Below are 21,433 nucleotides of genomic sequence, written 5' to 3' on the forward strand. Positions count from 1 at the left end.
TTGAGCTCAGGAGTTCAAGACCAGCCTAGGCAACATGGGGAGACCTCATCTCTACAAAATATCAAAAAATTAGCCAGGCATGGTGGCATGCACCTGTAGTCCAGCTACTCTGGAGGCTGAGGCAGGAGTATCACTTGAGCCCAGGAGGTTGAGGCTGCAGTGAGCTGTGGTAGCGCCACTGCACTCCAGCCTGGGCAATAGAGTGAGAGCCTGTCTCAAAAAAAATAAGTAAACAAAGATAAGTAAAAAGTAAAAGTTCTCCATTTACTCAGCACCTTATTCTCCGCATAAGTACGTATCTTTCAGATGAAAGCATAGATGTGCAATAAACACATAGATATCAGAACTTTAAAGAAATTACAAATGTTATAAAACAATATCAAATGATACGTATTGAACTGTAGGTTGATTTTTCCCCCCACTTATTAAGCATGCTGTGGACATTTTTCCATATCGTATATAAAAATATACTAAATTAGGCTGTAACATAATTTCATCATTCTCATATTCATCCATATTTCCAATATTTCTCTGTTATAATGCTGCAGAGAAACATTGTTCACATACCTTTGTGAACTATGGGAATATTAGTCTAGGAAAGTTTGTAGAAATGGAATTGCTGTGTTAAAGGGTATGTACATCCTGAATTTTAAGAGAATGTGGTAAATTTTAATATTGTGCACTGGGGCATGAATTCCACTAGGGACAGGGGGTTGGTCTTGCTTACCTTTGCATTTCCAGCTCCCAGAACAGTACCTAGAACGTAATTCACGCTCAGTAATTATTTGCTGATGGAATAAATGAACATATAAATATTTTCAATTGCCTTCTCTCATTACATTCTCACTAATGGTATTCCAAAGTGCCTGTTTCTCAGATCCTAGCCAAGACCAGATATTATCAATCCGTTAAAAAATTTCACAGCCATGCTTTAAGCTGTGTTTTCATTGGATATTTCTCCTATTTCATCCAAAACTGTGAGTGCAGTTTTATGTGACTAACAGAAGTAATGTGAATTTGTGACCTTCCTCCTTGAAGGTATGGCTGCAGATGTGTAATTATATGTGGGTAGATGGTATGCCTGAAAAGGCTAATTTCTTTCTTTTTTTTTTTTTTCGAGACAGAGTTTCGCTCTTGTTGCCTAACATGGAGTGCAGTGGCATGATCTCAGCTCACTGCAACCTCTGCATCCGGGTTCAGGCGATTCTCCTGCCTCAGCCTCCCAAGTAGCTGGGATTACAGGTGTGCACACCACGCCCAGGTGGTTTTTGCACTTTTTTTAGAGACAGGGTTTCACAGTGTTGGTCAGGCTGGTCTCGAACTCCTGACCTCAGGTGATCCACCCGCCCCAGCCTCCCAAAGTGCTGGGATTACAGGCGGGAGCCATCGCCCCTGGCCAATTTCTTTTTTTTATTGTTCACATCAGAGTGCCTTAGTGTGTTCAGCACTTCCTTTGCGCTCTCCCATGTGTGTGACTCAGTCTGCTGAGTTGGTTTATCATCTGACCTTCACTTGGTGACTGTTTGTTTCATGAAAGGCCTTTTGTGACTTTGCTGTTTCGTGACCGCCTTGCGTTTTGCTCACTGTTGGGTCACTGCCACTTCCCAGGGCTCATTTGCTGTCTTGCTGTGGAGACATGTCTATGTTACATTCAGAGAACATTTGGAATTGATCTCTGTCTTATTTTGAACTCTCTTCTAGATACTTGTTTGCCTTGCAACTTAAGAGAGACCTGCTGGAAGAGCGTTTGACCTGTGCTGACACCACAGCGGCCCTTCTCACGTCCCATCTCCTGCAGTGTGAGTATCTCCCCGCCAGCGGGGAGCATTCACTGACCATGGCACAGATATACCCGCACTCAGAACTACAATTAGTTGCTGATGTATTTGCCTAGTTAGTGAGCCTGACCATAGAATGAGGTGTTTCAACTTCAGTGTTTTTTATAAGCTACAGATTAACTTCTGTAAAGTGGAACTCCTTGAGGCAAATAGTTTCCACGTAGCAAACACAGGCCAAGGCCAAAATCTGTAGCCACGTTCCTTCTTTTGGGTTGTCTCTCATTTATGCCTTTGTGCATTTTACCAGCAATGCATATTCAGTCTAAGAGTCAGAATATAAACCAAACTCTGAGCAAACCCTGGAAAGGGCCTCACTGGGATAAAAGTTACAGTCCTCTCAGATTAGTAAAGCATTAGCCATGAAGGAAAAAGAAGACATTTCTTCAGTATCTCACACAGATCAAGAGATGGTTCAGAACTGTGTCAAGAATTATAGTTACTTCAAAAATAAACCATGAGAAGTGTAAGAGGAGGTTCTGGCACCTTGCCGAGCCCCCAGCGATGGGAATAGAAAAACAGAAATACCCACATTGCTCCTGGACTAGAGGTGGGACCACAGCTAGCACAGAACTAATGTTTCTGAAATTTGAATCCAGGAAATATGACATAGAAAGTTCCAAAATTTTAGGAATTAATAAGTATATAGGTTATTTGCAGCTTCCTTGGTCCTTCCCCAGACATACCTTCTTCAAATAATAAATTTTATTATGGGTTTGCTATCCTCCACCAGGGGACGTGTTGATTAATAAAAGTTTTCAAAGTGACTTTGGTTCTTACTCATTTGGCTGAAAGACTTCTCAGGTAGACACATGGCAACGAATGCAATGTATGACTGAACCAGATCTTTTTGCTATAAAAAACATAATTGGGCAGTTGGTAAAATATGACTAGGGTCCACATCTGGGATGGAGCCTCAGATCGTGGCCCTGTTCCTGATCTGGGTAGTTTTACAAGGCTGCGGGTAAGAATATTGTATTAGTCCATTTCCACACTGCTGATAGAGATGTGGCGGCAGCGAGAGAGGCTTGTACAGGGAAATGGCCCCTTGTAAAATCATCAGATCTCATGAAAGTCTCACTATTACAAGAACAGCACGGAAAAGATCCGCCCCCATGAGTCAGTTACCTCCCACTGGGTCCCTCCCACAGTAAGTGGGACTTGTGGGAGTTATAATTCAAGATGAGATTTGGGTGGGAACACAGCCAAACCGTATCAAATGTCATAGTTTATAGGAAGTCCATACTGAAGTATGGCAAGTAACATGTTAGCAACTCACTCTCAAATGGCTCAAAGGAGAAAAAACTCTTGTACTGTGCTTGTAACTTCTCTGTGAATATGAGATTGTCTAAAAATAAAAGCATATTGCTTTAAATTATTGAACTTTATGTTATTAAGACATTGTGGCCTTAAAATACATGAAATTAGACAGAGACATTATTCATCAAGAAATTTGAGAAGGTCTGAAGGAAAAAAATCATTTAAAATACATTATCCTAAAATAAATAAAATACTTCAGCCTGATCATGATAATCTTGAGACAATTTAGGTTTAAGGTGTAGTTTAAAAATAATAGTAGTCCAGGTGCAGTAGCTCATGCCTATATTCCCAGCACATTTGGGAGGCCAAGGCAGGAGGATTGCTTAAGTCCAGGAGTTTGAGACCAGCCTGGGCAATGTGGCAAAACCTTATCTCTACAAAAAATACAAAAATTAGCTGGGCATGATGGTGCTTACCTATAGTCCCAGCTACTTAGGAGGCTGAGGCGGGCAGATTGCTTGAGTCCAGAAGGTTGAGGCTGCAGTGAGTAGTGATTGCACCATTGCACTCCAGCCTGGTCAACAGAACGAGACCTTGTGTCAAAATAATAATAAACACATTAAACTCATCAATGTTTGCCTCCCTGGAGTTACTAATCAGGCCTTTGTTCTTCAAGAAATCCTCTTCACTTCCCATTATATTTGCCTTTTAACAGCATAAAATATTTGGAAAAATTAAATAAAAAATCTTGCTTTTTTAGGGATATATTCTTTTGCTACAAATTTGGGATAATTTTTTTTTACTTTTAATGTATGCAATGACACATACAAATGCTTGTAGTTTATTTAAAAATTAGTTACTTACTTTTAACCTATCTCAGCGGAAATAGGAGATTACGATGAAACGCTGGACCGAGAGCACCTCAAAGTGAACGAGTATTTGCCTGGCCAGCAGCACTGCCTTGAGAAGATACTAGAATTCCATCAGAAGCACGTGTAAGTCATCACAATTGTCTGTCAACACATTGTCACCACAGTAATGACTAAAGAGTGTGTAACGAGAAAGGACTGTTGTCGTGACTTCTGCAAGATTCTAACATAAGGACCATTGCTCCTGGCCTCAGGATGTGCAGCTGCTGCCAGAGGCAGCTTGGCAGACACACAGACACACAGGTGCCCTGGCCTGAAGCACCTTCACACCTGCACGATGTGCTGCTTTAGAAGGTGCTGGAAGAAGCCAGGCACGGTGGCTCATGCCTGTTATCCCAGCACCCTGGGAGGCTGAGGCAGGTGGATTGCCTGAGGTCAGGAGTTTGAGACCAGCCTGGCCAACATAGTGAGACCCCATCTCTACTAAAAATACAAAAAATTAGCTGGGCTAATGGCAGGCACCTGTAGTCCCAGCTACTCAGGAGGTGAGGCAGGAGAATCGCTTGAACCCAGGAGGTGGAGGTTACAGTGAGACAAGATCGTGCCACTACACTCCAGCCTGGCACCAGAGTGAAACTCCGTCTCAAAAAAAAAAAAAAAGGTGCTGGAAAAGACATCAGGGTCTGGGGGAGGAGGATGCTACTGAGCAGGATGGGGTGGCTATTGGGGGGGTGTCAGCTGCTGCAGTGTCTCTGCAGTGTGGCAGAAAGAGTCCTCTACGGGGAAGACACTGTGCTGTGGTAGAGGAGGAGGGGACTGTGTGAGGCTAACAGTGTCTGCCTGTGTCAGGGCATTGGGAATCGCCTGGCACCCATGGCCTTCATCTCATCTTGTTTTGATTTCTCTAAGACTTGACACTGGTGGGTTTTTCTGGATGGAAGTGATAGAGACCTAGAGAAGGAGTGCTAGCTAAGGGGAAAAGGATTGAAGAACGGTATGGGAAAGGGCTCTGGGCTCTGGCCCAGGTGGCTGGGAGCTTTAGTCACCAAAGGGGAGCACTCAGCTGGTGAAAGTGAGTCAGGAGGACTTAGCCTTGCCTTTGTGACACATCCTGTTGAGATGCAGGTTTGTTTGTCAGATCATGTATGTTCATGTGTGTCGTTAAGGCTCTACCGGGACCTGCTGGCAGCTGCCCTTTCACACCTTCAAAGTATGAGTGCCAGCTATGCATCCACCACTGCTGTCAGCACTGGGGAGCTGGTTTGAACGGCACAGACTGAGGTGCCTACCCATACAGATCTTACCTTACCCCGTAAGATTGTGTGGATTTCGTGCACCTCACCACTCCCAGTGTGGGGGATCTCTTGTGTTTGCAGGGGAGTGCCTTTTGTGTGCCCGACAGCATGGCAGTCATGAGATATACAGATGCGTTTCTACAGATGAGAATGTGTGCAGTGTAGCGGGAGCATAGCTCATACGCTGTGAGCTGAAAGAAGGCCGAGGGCAGGCTCAAGGAGGCTCGTGGGAGGACCTAGGCGGACAAAGCCAGGGAGGAAGCATTCCAGGCAAAGCACCAGCCTGGGAAGGGAGGGAGAAGGAAGCAGAGAGGAGAGGGAGGTTCCAGCATGGCTTGGGCAGTTTGGGTTCAAGGGCTGGAGGTAGAAGTGCCAACTGATACTGGAGAGGCTGTAGTGGCAATTACGGACAGCTCTTACGAGCATTTTTGTGTAATCCTCAAACCCACATCATGGCATGCACTGTTTTACTCCATTGTACATACGGTCAGACCATGCGTGCAGAGCTCCATCTCGGACATGACGGTGTGGGGCATCTTGTGTGTGTAAGTCGGTGCTTCTCATCCATTTGCCTGACCTGACCTTGAGGAGGCCTCCATGCAGGGCAGTACAGGTAGAGCTCCTGCTCTATTCTCCCAGGTACCCTTGGCTTTGCCTCTTTCAAGTGTTGCCATTATTCTAGCTGGTAGTGAGGAAGGTACAGCTGTTCTGAGTGTCACATCCAGACCTTGACCCATGGAGCCAAGGGCCCTCTGCTAGTGTTGTGTGCCATCCCAGCAGGAAACGGTCACTGGTTCAGTCTGCATTCCTAGGGTTGGGGATAGTCTCTCCCTGCTGAGACACACAGCAGGGGCTGGACATGAGGAAGGGAGAATTGGGCATTGTGCTGCGAACTGTCCAACCTGAAGGACAGTCCCTAGTGGATGGGTGGGTTTGGGATGCTGGGGAGAGTGTTGTCAGCACGTAGGCTGGGCTAACCTGTGCAGTGGGTGAAATCAGCTAGGCAGAGGGCAGATACAGGTCAGGAAGGGAGAAGAGCCCAGGATGAACCCCTGAAGAACTGACATTTGAGAGGCTGAGTGCAGGAGGAGGCACCCACAAGAGCCTTTAGCAGCCAGAAGCATGGAAGGGCACAGGTGCCAAGAGAGCATGTTTTAGGATAGTGGCCACAGCCTCTTGTGTGGAGACTACAGGCCTGGGGAGGTAGGCACAGGAGCAGGTTTCTGAGCTTGGCAGTGTGGCAGTGTATCGCCTTCAGCAGCTTCAGTGAGTGGTGAGGGTGAATTCTAGATTCAAGTACACTGAAAGTGCAGTGAGGAGGCAGTGACAACATCTTTGGGCACTTATGTCGAGAAGCCTGCCTGTGGAAGAACAAAGAACTGGACCCTCAGGGTAGTTCTGTGTGTGTGTGTGTGTGTGTGTGTGTGTGTGTGTGTGTGTGTGTCTGGGTGTGTTCTGTGTATACATGTGTGGCTGTGTGGTCGTGTGTGCATGTATATGTGTTCCTATGCATGCATTGTGTGTGTTTCTGTGTGTGGCTCATATGTTCATGTGTGTTGATGTGTGTTCCTGTGTACATTGTATACTGTGGTTATGTGTACTTGCACATGTTCTTGTGCCTGTGTCTCTGCATGTGTGTGTCCTTACATGTGCACATGTATCCGCTAAAAACCCTAGAAAGCCGGTACGAGAAGGGTGAGCCATGTGGTCTGCTTCATACGGGAATACAGTTGAACTCTTGCCGAATAAGCCCGGAAGCAGGAAGCTCTGCTCTACGTTGTAGGCCTTCACTGTGTTAATTTGAGACTGTGTCTGTCACAGTCACCACAGCTTCGTTGCACATCTTATTTCTTTTGATAATCCTTCAGGTTTTTTTTTAAAGACAATATTGTACCTTTATTTTAATTATTATACATTTCTTACATTGTCTTATGATTCTGATGGTTCTTCAGTGATCCACTGAAAACACCTTTATAATCACTGAATAGGATATTAAAGAAGTGTTTTTCTTGACTTTATCACATTGCTTTTGGATCTTTGAAACTGGAGAGAAAAGTCGGGCACAGTGGCTCATGCCTGTAATCCCAACACTTTGAGAGGCCAACAAGTTTGAGTCCAGGAGTTCAAGACACCCTGGGCAACATGACAAAACCCTGTCTCTACAAACAATTAGCCAAGTGTGGTGGTGCGTGCCTGTGGTCTCAGCTACTCAGGAGACTGAGGCGAAAGGATCGCTTGAGCCTGGGAGGCAGAGCTTGCAGTGAGCCAAGATTATGCCACTACACTCCAGCCTGGGCGACAGAGTGAGACCCTGTCTCTAAACGAATGAGCGAGTGAGTGGGTGAGTGAGTGAGTGAGTGAGAAAACGGGTTTATAAGACACAAGTGTTTCAGATAGTAAAAAATATTTTTTAAGATGAAAAGGAGATGGCCGGGCGCAGTGGCTCTCGCCTGTAATCCCAGCACTTTGAGAAGCCAAGGTGGGCGGATCACCTGAGGTCAGGAGTTTGAGACCAGCCCGGCCAACATGGCAAACCCCGTCTCTACTAAAAATACAAAAAGCTGGGCATGGTAGCGTGCACCTGTCGTCCCAGCTACTCAGGAGGCTGAGGCAGGAGAATCCGCTTGAACCTGGGAGGCAGAGGTTGCAGTGAGCCAAGATTGCACCATTTCACTCCAGCCTGAGCAGCAGAGTGAGACTCCATCAAAAAAAAAAAAAGAAAAGAAAAGAAATACCATAGATAACACTACTATCCCGTCACACTCATTTTCTTTCTTTTTCATTTCATTTTATTATTAGTATTATTATTGTTAGAGATGGAGTCTCGCTCTGTCACCCAGGCTGAAGTGCAGTGGCATGATCTCAGCTCACTGCAACCTCCGCCACCACGCCTGGCTAATTTTTGTATTTTTAGCAGAGACAGGGTTTCGCCATGTTGTCCAGGCTGGTCTCAAACTCTTGACCTCAGGTGATCCACCCGCCTCTGCCTCCCAAGGTGCTGGGATTACAGGCGTCAGCCACTGTGCCCGGCCCTCTGTGGTGTTTCTTCTGATTAAAATTTGTCTCTGCCAGTAGTATTTGTGTATAACCTTGTCACTATGGAGCAGATGTAAGGCTGAGTAGCTAGTGTATGCAAAGAAAGTGTTCTACCCGTTACAAAGTAGTTACAGAATAGAAGAAAACTGAGGATGTCTTTGGCCTGCACGTGTGGTATGCTGTTTTTGTAGTGGGTAAACACAGACAGTGAACCATCTGCCCTCTAAACACACAAAGCCTTCATTGTTGGTTTTCCTGATCGCTTCTATAATGCATTTTGGCTCTTTCAGAAATCAAGTGTTTGTAGTGTATGATTCTACCATTTTTTATTACAGGGGCCAGACACCTGCTGAGTCGGATTTCCAGGTGCTCGAAATTGCTCGAAAGTTGGAAATGTACGGCATCAGATTTCACATGGCTTCTGACAGGGAAGGAACCAAGATTCAACTGGCAGTTTCCCACATGGGTGTACTCGTGTTCCAGGTAGGCCAGTGGGGAAGGGAGGGGTGAGAACAGGGCAGGGGAGGTTTTCTGCAACCTGGTGGGGTTTGTTCTTATAGATGTTAGTAAATATTTGTCCTGATGAGTACGGGCCTCGATTTGGAAGAGGGGCTTTGCATATCATCCAATCCAACCTCTTACTCAGTGGGAAAATTAATCTTTTGTCCTTCTCTGACACACGTGTGACTGTCCTCCATGTCATGGAGCCCACTGCTTCCTGGGACTGCCTCCCGCCTCCTTGGATTCCCCACTGCCTCCTGCCCCCCAGGGCTGCCCACTGCCTCTGGGACTTCGCATTCCCTCCTGGGATTCGGCCTACCCCCTTAGGATCCTAAACCACAACCCTGTTTTTTTTCCAGTGGAGCAGTCTCTGTGCTGTGGATGTGATCTGGGCTGGACTGTGAGCGCTTTAGAGTGGGTTACAGTAATCATTTCAGTAAACAAACTAGAATAGAATAGAAAATATCAGAGGGATTGCTTGTGATAAGAGTCAGTGTTGTCTTCTGAAGTGTTTGTATTAGTTGTGATGCATAGGTAAATAATTACATAAATGGTGGGCATGGCCTGCTCACTTCCATTTGTGGTTATGTGTGTGTATGCTGGGGTTTGTGATGTCCAAGAAGCTTAAGTGTGACTGCTAGTGCCGACTAGAAGGAGCTTTTCTCCTTATTCAGGCCCTTTGCATATCTGAAGAAAGCTCTTGCGGGGGCTCCCCAAGTCCCCTCGCACCCAGGCTAAATATGTCCAACTTGTCTGGGCCCCTCCTTTTGGGAGCACTCCAGTCACTGGCCCTTGTAAAATTTTGCACCTCTGATAGACTACGGTAATCCTGAAAAGGTCTCCTCAATGCTGAATATTGTGGGAATTGTCACTATTGCAGTCTGGGAGCCCATTGCCTGCATGAGCTGCTGTTTCTTTGTGGGCTCTTTTAACCTGTGACTATCAAAAAGAGCTTGGTCTGATTCAGGCCTCCCTCATCAAGCCATGTTTATTATTGTTTTCTTTTCCTTATTTTTCTTAACCTAGCCATCAAGTTTCAATTTCCTGTCAGAAAAAAAATTAATTTTGAATTTAGAGTATTATGTTACATTTCATACTAAATGTGATTAGAGAGCAATAAAAATCCATGATAGAGACCAGCCTTAGCAATCCATGCCTTCAGGTGGAGGGTCTGAGCATCCCCTGCCTACACCTGCTGATGAGTGTTCCCCCATTGCACAGAGATGAAAACCTCATATCCAAACTGAGCCATTGCCACATTTCCAGAAAAAAACAAATAATACAACCTAAAGAAGTTGTAAAAGCAAGGGATTAGAAACTTCAGTTTGAAGATAGCAGACTGAATATATGTATTTATTTTTATTCCCTCAAAACCCTGAACACAATGACAGTTGAAGGAATTTTTTAAACATTTAAATCCGTAAGAACAAAGAATGGGAAAACAGCCCACGAAAGATGAGGATAGCAGCAATGTTTGGAAGCTGGGAAATGAAACAGGGAGTGGGACCTGACTTTGCAGAGTAGGGAAGGCTGGAATCTCACAGCCTTCAGCGGCAAAGTCACAGTGCAAGCCAACATGTTCCCAGGAGCCCCAGAAAGGGCTCACAGTTCATGCTTATGAGAAATAGGAATACTTCTTTATCAGAAATGTAAAATTTTATCTTGTAATTTTTTTATTTTTATCAGCCTTGTTTGTGATAGTAAAATTCTGGGAATTAACCGTTAGAAAGCCAGTTAAATAGCCTGGCACAGTGGTTCACACCTGTAATCTCAGCACTTTGGGAGGCTAAGGTGGGCAGATTGCTTGAGTCCAGGAGTTTGAGACCAGCTGGAGCAACATGGAGAAACCTCATCTCTACTAAAAATACCAAAAATTCATTGGGTGTAGTGGCATGTACCTGTAGTCCCAGCTACTCAGGAGGCTGAGGTGGGAGAATCACCTGAGCCCAGGAGGTCGAGGCTACAGTGAGCCGAGATCGTGCCACTGCACTGCAGCCTGGGCACCTTGAGTGAGACCCTGTCTCTAAATAAGTACATAAATAAAAGCCAGCTAAATAAATGGTGGTGCATCCATGTGAACAGAATATTGGGCAACTGTACAAACAAGGAAGCAGCTCTTTATGTCCCAATAATGAGACATCCTTCAAGATGCATCATTACATGGAGAAAAGATTGAAAACTCTGTATAGTAGCTACTGCTTGTGGGGAAAAGAGAGAAAATTATATGTGCACTATATTCCACACTATTAAATGAACTGGTGACATTAATGGCCCCAGGGAAGAGTGGCCAAGCTGGCAGGCTTTGGAACAGTGCTGAGAGGGAGACTTGCACTGTGGACTCATTTTTGAACCTTCAGAATTTGAGCCTTGTGAATGTATCACTGTATTACATTTTCACAAAACCTTCACAGGAATAAAACACTGCATCTCTGAAATGAGCAGGATACCATGATAGAAACAAATGGAGAACATAAAAACATTTGCAAATTAAAATACAGGCTGCCCCAGTCCATCCCCACCCCATGTCTCCTACCTGGTCTGCACGCCAGGCAGGGGTCATCAGCCTCTTTGTCCTGCAGAGTTGTGCTGGCACATGCTCTGCTACTTTTTAGCAGGTTTACTGCCTGGCCCCACATGCAACAATAGGAACCCAACCCCAGCAGACCCTGGGCTCCACAATTTCATCTCCATCATCCACAGAGTTATGACAGCCTCAGTTCTAAGCACAGATATTTAAAATTATAATATAGGAGGATCCAAGATGGCTGATTAGAAGCAACTGAGGTTCACACCACTCACGAAGAGGAAAGAAAAGGGGTGAGTGGATTCACCTTCAACTGAAATATTCAGGTTCTTGCACTGAAACTAACTAGGCGAACAACTCAACCCACAGAGGATGAAGAAAAGCGAGGGTGGGGGTTGATGGCCCACCCAAGAGCAGCATGGAGCCAAAGGAACCCCCATCCCCAGCCAAGAGAAATGGTGAGTGACTGTGCAACCTCACCCAGGAAACTACACCTCTCCCACAGATGTTTGCAACCCACAGATCAGGAGATCTCCTCATGAGCCCATGCCACTAGGACCTTGGGTCCAATACACAGAGTTGTGTTCAGTCTCAGCAGAGCAGCCACTGAGGCACACACAGAGACCTAGGAGTTTCACATACTTCAGCCTCAGGACCCCCAGCAAGGTGGGAAATCTGTTTGTACAAATCCCTAAGAAGGAGGCTGAATCCAAGGAGCCAAGCAGTATCATTCTGTGAGGCCCACTTCCACAGCACCTCACAAGTTAAGACCCACTGGCTTGGAATTCTAGCCAGCCAACAGCAGCAGGCTGGAAATCTGCCTGAGATGGATCCAAGTTCCTGCGGGGGCGGGGTGGCCACCATCTCTAGTTTGGTTGACTCAGCCATTTTAGCCTGCTGGCTTTGGAGTCTGGATAAGGAAGAGTTCCCCCACATGCAGCATACGTACTCTGCAAAAAGCAGCCAGGCTGCTGCTTTAAGTGGGCCCCTGACCCTGTTCCTCCTGACTGGGTGAGCCACCCCCTACAGGTGCATTTGGGCCAGCAACAAGTCAGTACCCTCCTGGGATATAAAGCTTTTAGAGGAGAAAGCTGCCTGCTATCTTTTCTGTTTCACAGGCTTTGCTGGTGATACCTCCAGGTACAGAAAAACCTAGGCAACTAGGGTCTGGAGCAACTCCCAGCAAACTGCAGCAGCCCTAAAAACAACAGGCCAGGCGTAGTGGCTCACACCTGTAATCCCAGCACTTTGGGAGGCTGAGGTGGGCAGATCACTTGAGGTCAGGAGTTCAAGACCAGCCTGGACAACATGTTGAAACACCATCTCTACTAAAAATACGAAAATTAGCTGGGTGTAGTGGTGGGCACCTGTAGTCCCAGCTATTTAGGAGGCTGAGACAGGAGAATCACTTGAACACGGGGAGGCAGAGGTTGCAGTGAGCTGAGATCACACCACTGCACTCCACCCTGGGCAACAGAGCGAGACTGTCTCAAAAAACAAACACCTGTAATCCCAGCACTGTGGGAGGCTGAAACAAGCAGATCACCTAAGGTCAGAAGTTCAAGACCAGCCTGGCCAAGTGGTGAAACCCCATCTCTACTAAAAATACAAAAAAAAAAAAAAAAAAAATTAACCACGCACAGCGGTAGGCTGAGGAGGGAGAACTGCTTGAATCTGTGAGGCAGAGGTTGCAGTGAGCCAAGATCGTGCCACTGCACTCCACCCTGGGTGACAAAGTGAGACCCTGTATCAAAAAAAAAAACAGAAAACAACAACAACATGAACCAAAAAACCCATAAAAGCCCCATTCAAAGGTCAGCAACCTCAAAGATCAAAGTTTGATAAACCCACAGAGATGAGAAAATCAACACAAAAATGCTGAACACTCAAAAAGTCAGAGTGCCTCTTCTCCTCCAAATGACCACAATACCTCTCTGGCAAGGGCATAGAAATGGGCTGGGGCTGAGGCTGAGATAGCATTATTGACAGAAGCAGGCTTTGGAAGGTGGGTAATAATGAACTTTGCTGAGCTAAAGGAGCATGTTGTAACCCAATGCAAAGAAGCTAAGGACCATGATAAAACAACACAGGAGCTTATAGCCGGTTTTGAGAGAAACATAACCTACCTGATGTAGCTGAAAAACACAACACGAGAACCTCACATTGCAATCACAAGTATCAATAGCAGAATAGGCCAAGCAGAGGAAAGAATCTCAGAGCATTGAAGACTATCTTTCTGAAATAGGCAGACAAGAATAGAGAGAAAAGAATGAAAAGGAATGACAGAACCTCCAAGAAATATGGGATTATGTGAAGAGACCAAACCTATAACTGATTGGGTTACCCAAAAGAGACAGGGAGAATGGAATCAAGTTGGAAAACATACTTTGGGATATCATCCAGGAGAATTTCCCCAACCTAACGAGACAGGCTAATATTCAAATTCAGGAAATGCAGAGAACCCCAGTAAGATACTCCACAAGAAGATCTGCCCCAAGACATATAATCATCAGATTCTCCAAGGTTGAAATAAAAGAAAAAATATTAAAGGCAGCCAGAGAGAAAGGCCAGGTCATCTACAAAGGGAATCCCTTCAGACTAACAGGGGACCTCTCAGCAGAAACCCTACAAGCCAGAAGAGATTGGGGGCCAATATTCAACATTCTTAGGAAAAAATTTCCAACCCAGAATTTCATATCTGGCCAAACTAAACTTCATAAGCAAAACAGAAATAAGATTCTTTTCAGACAAGCAAGTGCTTAGGGAATTCATCACCACCAGGCCTGCTTTGCAAGAGCTCCTGAAGGAAGCACTAAATACAGAAAGGAAAAACTGTTAACAGCCACTGCAAAAACACACTGAAATACATAGACCAGTGACACTATAAAGCAACCACAAAAACAAGTCTGCAAAATAACCAGCTAGGACCATGATGACAGGATGAAATTCACATATAACAATATTAACCTTAAATGTAAATGGGCTAAATGCCCCCAATTAAAAGACACAGAATGGCAAGCTGGATAAAGAGCCAAGACCTATGGGTATGCTGTCTTCAAGAGACCTGTCTCACGTGCAAAGACACACATAGACTCAAAATGAAGGGATGGAATAAAATTTACCAAGCAAATGGAAAACAGAAAAAAACAAGGCTTGCAATCCTAGTTTCTGACAGAACAGACTTTAAAGCAACAAAGATTAAAAAAGACAAAGATGGGCATTATATAATGGTAAAGGGTTCAACAAGAAGAGCTAATTATCCTAAATATATATGCACCCAATACAGGAGCCCCCAGATTCATAAAGCAAGTTCTTAAAGATCTAAAAAACGACTTAGACTCCCACACAATAATAATAGGAGACTTTAACACCCCACTGACAATATTAGACAGATCATCAAGACAGAAAGTTAACTTTCTGAAAATATTCAGGACCTGAACTCAGCCCTGGATAAAGTGACCTTATAGATAGCTACAGAACTGTCCCCCCAAAAACAAAAGAATATAAATTCTTCTCATCACCACATGGCACTTTGTCTAAAACTGATCACATAATCGGAAGCAAAACACTCCTCAGCAAATGCATAAGAACTGAAATCATAACAAACAGTCTCTTACACCACAGCACAATCAAATTAGAACTCAAGATTTAAACATTCACTGAAAACCACACAACTATATGGAAATTGAACAACCTGCTCCTGAATGACTCTTGGGTAAATAATGAAATTAAGGTAGAAATCAAGAATTATTTGAAACTAATGAGAACTAAGAGATAACATATCAGAATCTGGGATGCAGCTAAAGCATTGTTAAGAGGGAAATTTATAGTACTAAATGCCCACATCAAAAAGCTAGAAAGATCTCAGGTTAACAACCTAACATCTCAACTAAAAGAACTAAAAAATCAAGAGCAAACAAACCTCAAAGCTAGCAGAAGACAAGAAATAGCCAAGATCAGAGCTGAACTGAAGAGATAGAGACACAAAAACCCCTTCAAAAAATCAAATCCAGGAGCTGGTTTTTTGAAAAAATTAATAAAATAGACTGCTAGCTAGACTAGTAAAGAAGATAATAGAGAATAATCAAATGAACAATCTGAAATGATAGGGGAATATCACCACTGAACCCACGGAAATATAAACGATCATCAGAGAATGCTATAAACACCTCTATGCACATAAAGTGGAAAATCTAAAAGAAACTGATAAATTCCTGGACACATACGCTCTCCCAAGACTGAACCAGAAAGAAACTTATAAAAACCCTAGATGAGGGCTAGACACAGTGGCTCACGTCTGAATCCCAGCACTTTCGGAGGCCAATGGGGGCAGATCACTTGATGTCAGGAGTTCAAGACCAGCCTGGGGCCAACATGGTAAAACCCTGTCTCTACTAATATAATAATTAGCCAGGCATGATAGTGGGTGCCTATAACCCCAGCTACTTGAGAGACTGAGGAAGGAGAACCGCTTGAGCCTGGGAGGCGGAGGTTGCAGTGAGCCAAAATCAAGCCACTATACTCCAGTCTGGGCGATGAAGTGCGACCCTGTCTCAAAAACAAAAACAAAAAAAACCCTGGAAGAAAATCTAGGCAATGCCATTCAGGACACAGGCACAGGAAGGATTTCATGACGAAAATGCCAAAAGCAATTGCAACAAAAGCAAAAATTGATAAATGAGATTTAATTAAACTGAAAAGCTTATGCACAGCAAAAGAAACTATCATCAGAGTGAACAGACAACCCTACAGAATGGGAGAAAAATTTTGCAGTCTATCCATCCAACAAAGGATAATAGTGGAGAAGACCCAAGAACTCCCAGGAAGAAGAGAGAAAGAAGTGTGATTTAAAATGGCCTGGAACTATTCCGTAGCAGTACTGGAAGCTAGAAAGCAACGGGGCTTTCCGAGCCAGGGGGAAATTGAATCCCTGAATAGACTAGAAATGTGTTGTGAAATTGAGGCAATAATATCCTACCAAGTAAAAAAAAAAAAAAAAAAAAAAAAAAAAGTAGCCCAGGACCAGATGGATTCACAGCTGAATTCAACCAGAGGTACAAAGAAGAGCTGGTACAATTTCTCTCTCTCTCTTTTTTTTTTTTTTTTTTTTGAGACAGAGTTTCATTCTTGTTGCCCAGGCTGGAGTGCAATGTCACTGCAATGGCAGCATCTCAAACATTAAAAGGAAATTATTTCCAAACTAATTCTTTTGTTTTTTTTTTTTTGAGACTACAGTTTTATTATTACTCAAATCAGTTTCCCCGAGCATTTGGCGATTTTTTTTTTAAATTTGGTGTGTGTGGGGCTCTAGACTAGAATTCTGTGCTCTGTTCCACATGACTTCTGTACAGAGAAAACCTTTTTTCACACATGTAGATTTTTAAAAAATTTAACTACTACTCTCCCTTTGTAAGGAAAAACTAGAGGAGAGAATGAACTAAAAGTGAGAAAGAAGGAAATAGGGTGCTCCACATCCGAGACAGGCAGAGGAAGACACAGGTTCTGCCTGCCAAGAGAGCATCCACCAATACCAGAGCAGAGGGCAGGGCCCCGGGAGAGAGGGTAGACCAGGGACTCATTTCTTTTGCTGGACGGTGTGGAAGAGTGTTAACTAGGGATAGGTACATGCCGGTGAAGCAAATGAAACGAGGCAATTAGGATTCTCAAGGAAATTTTGAAGAAGGAAGCTTTACTTTATAATATAAAAAAAGTAGTTAAATTCACTATAGCTCAGCTTGTGAGCAATGCTTACATGACCATTAATATAAATACTGAATTTAAAATTTACCAACAATTAGGAGAGTGTGGGGAGGGGTAGGTGTGAGGTATTGGCAGTGACAGATGTTGAGGAGGCAAGATTTCAAAGTGGAGAATGTGCTAGCTGTCATAAATGTGCTTTTCAGAAATACGGGTGAATGAATGGATGCATGAGAGTAAATCCCAGAAAGGCAGCCAAGAGAGGTGAAGCTGGTTCTGTCTGAGGAAGAGGACTTGATGTGGAGTGGGTGACCCTGACCTGGCAGTTTGTTTCCAGTCGTGTAGTCTATATGGCATTTTCAGATATGCCCTGGATTATTGGATGAATATGAAAATGAAAACAGTAGATTTTAGCATTCCACAGCTAACTGTGCAGGTTTAAAAGTGTTGTCTTAAAGTCTGTCAAGTCAGGGTGCAGTAGATGAAAGCTGTGATTGTCCTTGGATTTTCTATTTATTTCTCCTTTTATCATGGTGGTCAAGACCCTGGGATATACAGTTGGCCCTCCATATCCGCAGGAAAATAAACGATAAAAAACAATACAGGCTGGGCGCGGTGGCTCACACCTGTAATCCCAGAACTTTGGGAGGCCAAGGCTGGTAGATCACCTGAGGTCACAAGTTCGAGACCAGCCTGGCCAACATGGTGAAACCCCATCTCTACTAAAAATACAAAAATTAGCCAGGTGTGGTGGCAGGTGCCTGTAATGCCAGCTACTCAGGAGGCTGAGGTAGGAGAATCGCTTGAATCCAGGAGGCCGAGGTTACAGTGAGCCAAGATCGCACCATTGCACTCCAGCCTGGGCAACAAGAGCGAAACTCTGTCTCAAAACACACACACACACATATATGTGTCTGTGTAATTTTTTAAAAAATACAAATTTAACACAGTACAGTAAAACTATGTGACGTTTACATTGTATTAGGTACATAAGTAATCTAGAAATGATTTTATTAAAGTATACAGGAAGCCCAGCGTGGTAGCTCAAGCCTGTAATCCCAGCACTTTGGAAGGTCAAGGCAAGAGAATCACCAGAGCTCGGGAGACCAGCCTTAGCAGCAAAGCAAGACCTCATCTCTACAAAAATTGTAGGTTTTTTTGTAGAGATGGTGTGTGTAGGTTATATGCAAATACTACACCATTTTCTATCAGAGCCTCAAGATTTATAGATTGGGGTACTGGGGTAGAGGGTCCTGGAACCAATCCCCTACAGATACCAAGAGACAGCTGTAGAAATTTCTTATTTTGACCAGAAGGGATTGAACAAGCAGCTGGAGCAGTTATTTGGGGGCCTCTGAGCTATTGTTGGCCCACTTCTTGGGAGGGCTTCATCTCTTACCTCCGTGGCAGGCCCTCGGTTTTTTGTTTTGTTTTTGAGATGGAGTCTCACTCTGTCGCCCAGGTGGGAGTACAGTGGCGCGATCTCAGCTCACTGCAACCTCCGCCTCCCAGCTTCAAGCGATTCTCCTGCCTCAGCCTCCCGAGTAGCTGGGACTTAGAGGCGCCTGCCACCACGTCTGGCTAATTTTTTGTATTTTTAGTAGAGGCGGGGTTTCACTGTGTTAGCCAGGATGGTCTCGATCTCCTGACCTCGTGATCCGCCCGCCTTGGCCTCCCAAAGTGCTGGGATTACAGGCATGAGCCACCACGCCCAGCCTAGGCCCTCGGTTTTTTAAGACTCTGTCCTGGATATATAAATAATATCTAGAACTGGGGCTATGGGGATTTTGTTTCCTTTTGTTGATGTTTTGTTTTGCTTTGTTTTTGAGAATACAATTTAGGACAGAAATTTTGAGAATGTAGTTGAAAATCCTCCAATATTTTACTTTTTTTTTTTTTTTTTTGAGACGGAGTCTCCCTTTGTCGTCCAGGCTGGAGTACAGTGGCGCAGTCTCTGCTCACTGCAACCTGCGCCTCCTGGGTTCAAATGATTTTCCTGCCTCAGCCTGCTGAGTAGCTAGGATTACAGGCACTGGCCACCATGTCCAGCTAATTTTTTTTTTTTTTTAATTCCTGACCTCAGGTGATCTGCTCACCTCAGCCTCCCAAAGTGCTGGGATCACAGGCGTCAGCCACAGCACCTGGCCTTCAATATTTTACTTTCAGTAGAAATTAGAACGACTTAGTGTTGGGGCAATATTTTGGGAACTAGGAAGCTTAAGTCCTCATTTAGACCCTAATGTTTGTATCTTGGCTTTGAGAACATCTAACTCAGGATTTTTTTTTTTTTAATTGAGATAAAATGTGTATGCCATAAAATTCACCATGTTGAAGTATACAATTCAGTTGTTTTAGGATACTTACACAGTTGTATGACCGTCACTACTATCTAATTTCAGAACGTTTTCATCATCCCAAAAAGAGACCCTCATACTCTTTAGCAGTTACTCCGCCAGCCCCCAGCAACCACTGGTATCCAGAACAGGCACCCATCAGGATATTCCCTCTCTATGGATTTCCCTATTTTAGATATTTCATATAAGTGGGATCATACAAACATGCGGTCTGTTGTGTGTAGTGTTTCCTTGTTTCCAGGTTCACTCATGTGGTAGCATGTATCAGTGTTTTACTCCTTATGGCTAAAGGGGTTTGTTTTTTCCTTTGGAGCTGTCTCTGAGGGGACTGTGTCCCTAACCTTGCTGCCTCTTACACTGAGTTTGCAGGTAAGAGTAAATGTTGGTAACATCAAACGTATAGTCGCTGAAATGCCCAAGCAGTGTCTCAGACGTTTTTAAAATTTTATTTTGAAACCATTTCAAGCTTATAGAAAAGCTACACAAACAGCACAGAAAGGTCCTGCTGGCCTTTACCTGAGATGCCCGTCTGCCTTTAACTGGTTGTCTCAGTGTTGTTTACTACAGAAGGTCCAATCTAGGAGCAAATGCTGTACCCAGGCATTATGTCTCTCTGGTCTCTGCAATCTGGAACATTCTTCCTCCTTTCCTTGGTTTTCATGACCTTGACATTTTGGAAGATTACAGGGCAGTCATTTTGTAGAATGTTTATGATATGGGATTGTGCAGTGCTTCCCCAGGATCAGACCCTGGGCTCACTGCCTAGGTGAGAAACTCCCAGAGTGATGATGCGTCCTGATTCATGTGGCACATAGGGTCCATCTGTCCCATTGGTGGTGGTGGTGGTAACATTGATCACTTGGTCAAGATGATGTTTGCCAGCTTTTCTGTATACAAAGTTGTTTTTGACTAGGTAGTGGCTCATGCCTATAGTCCCAACAGAGGCTGAAGCAGGAGGATCACTTGAGGCCAGGTGTTTGAGACCAGCCTGGGCAACATAGCAAGACCCCATCTCTACAAAAGGTCCTGCTGGCCTTTACCTGAGATGCCCATCTGCCTTTAACTCGTTAAACAAGAAAAAATTAAAAATAGAAAATTAGCCAGGATTGGTATCAGGTGCCTGTATTCCCAGCTGCTCCAGAGGCTGAGACAGGATGATTGCTTAAGCCCAGGAGTTTGAGACTCCTTATCTCTTAAGGAAAGAAAGGTTACTTTTTGTCCTTTGTTACTAAGTATTTTGTGGAGCGATACTTTGAGACTAAGTAAATATCTTGTACCTCATCACACTCATCTTCTAGTTAGATCACTATGATGGTTGCCCAATGATGACTCTTTAAATCCCATTCTTCCTACTACTGGAAGGAAGAGTTTTCTCTCCATTTATTTAGTTTATGTCACTGTGGATTCATAGATTCAAATCTGATACTTGATAATCTGTTGGTTTCATTATTTATTTTTATCTTTAACTTTCCCACATTTGGCCCAAGGGAGACTCTTCAAGCTGCCTCTTGTGTCCTTCTCACATGTCCTTTCATTTTATGAACACTTCTTTGCTTTCTTACAGAATAAGACATGCCAGGCTTGTTTTGTACTTTGCCTGCTTCACTGTGGAGTCAGCCATTTCCCCACAGAGCCCAGCCGTTTTAGTGAAGACTGGTATTTAGAGACCAAGATCCATGCACTCAGTGTGCCCATTGCTTTGTGGGGTATCACCACTTCTGGCCCTCTCAACAGACAATGCTACACACATGTACATATACCCACTCACCTCATATATCTATATTTACCTCTATATCTGTGTCTGTATCTGCTGAAACCAGGAATTCCCATCATTCGCTCCTGTTACACTCTAGCACTGTGTTCTAGCTTCAGTGAGAAACCTGACTCTACTCCCTGCCCTGCCTGGCCACTATCACTGCCCCTTCCAGACCACCCTCCTTGCAGGAGTGAACTTCAAAAAATGTATATTAACATTGATTTTAAAATTTTGCAATAAAACCTTATCAAAGAAATTAAAATTAGCCAGGCACAGTGGGTCATGCCTGTAATCCCAGCACTTTGG

General features: G+C 44.1%; 1 protein-coding gene across 12 annotated transcripts in view; it reads left to right on the forward strand.

Annotated features, from left to right (window-relative positions):
- Positions 1-21,433, forward strand: part of FARP2 (FERM, ARH/RhoGEF and pleckstrin domain protein 2) — a 138,557-nt gene that overhangs the window by 53,047 nt on the left and 64,077 nt on the right. For all 12 annotated transcript variants that reach the window (XM_047446511.1, XM_011512233.1, NM_014808.4 and 9 more), the window contains 3 exons: positions 1,702-1,799; positions 3,976-4,090; positions 8,631-8,778. In XM_047446511.1, coding sequence (XP_047302467.1) covers positions 1,702-1,799; positions 3,976-4,090; positions 8,631-8,778 — 361 coding nt within the window. The remainder of the gene's footprint in view (positions 1-1,701; positions 1,800-3,975; positions 4,091-8,630; positions 8,779-21,433) is intronic.

The sequence above is a fragment of the Homo sapiens genome, chromosome 2, assembly GCF_000001405.40.
Source record: "Homo sapiens chromosome 2, GRCh38.p14 Primary Assembly".
In the NCBI taxonomy this organism is placed as follows: Eukaryota; Metazoa; Chordata; class Mammalia; order Primates; family Hominidae; genus Homo; species Homo sapiens.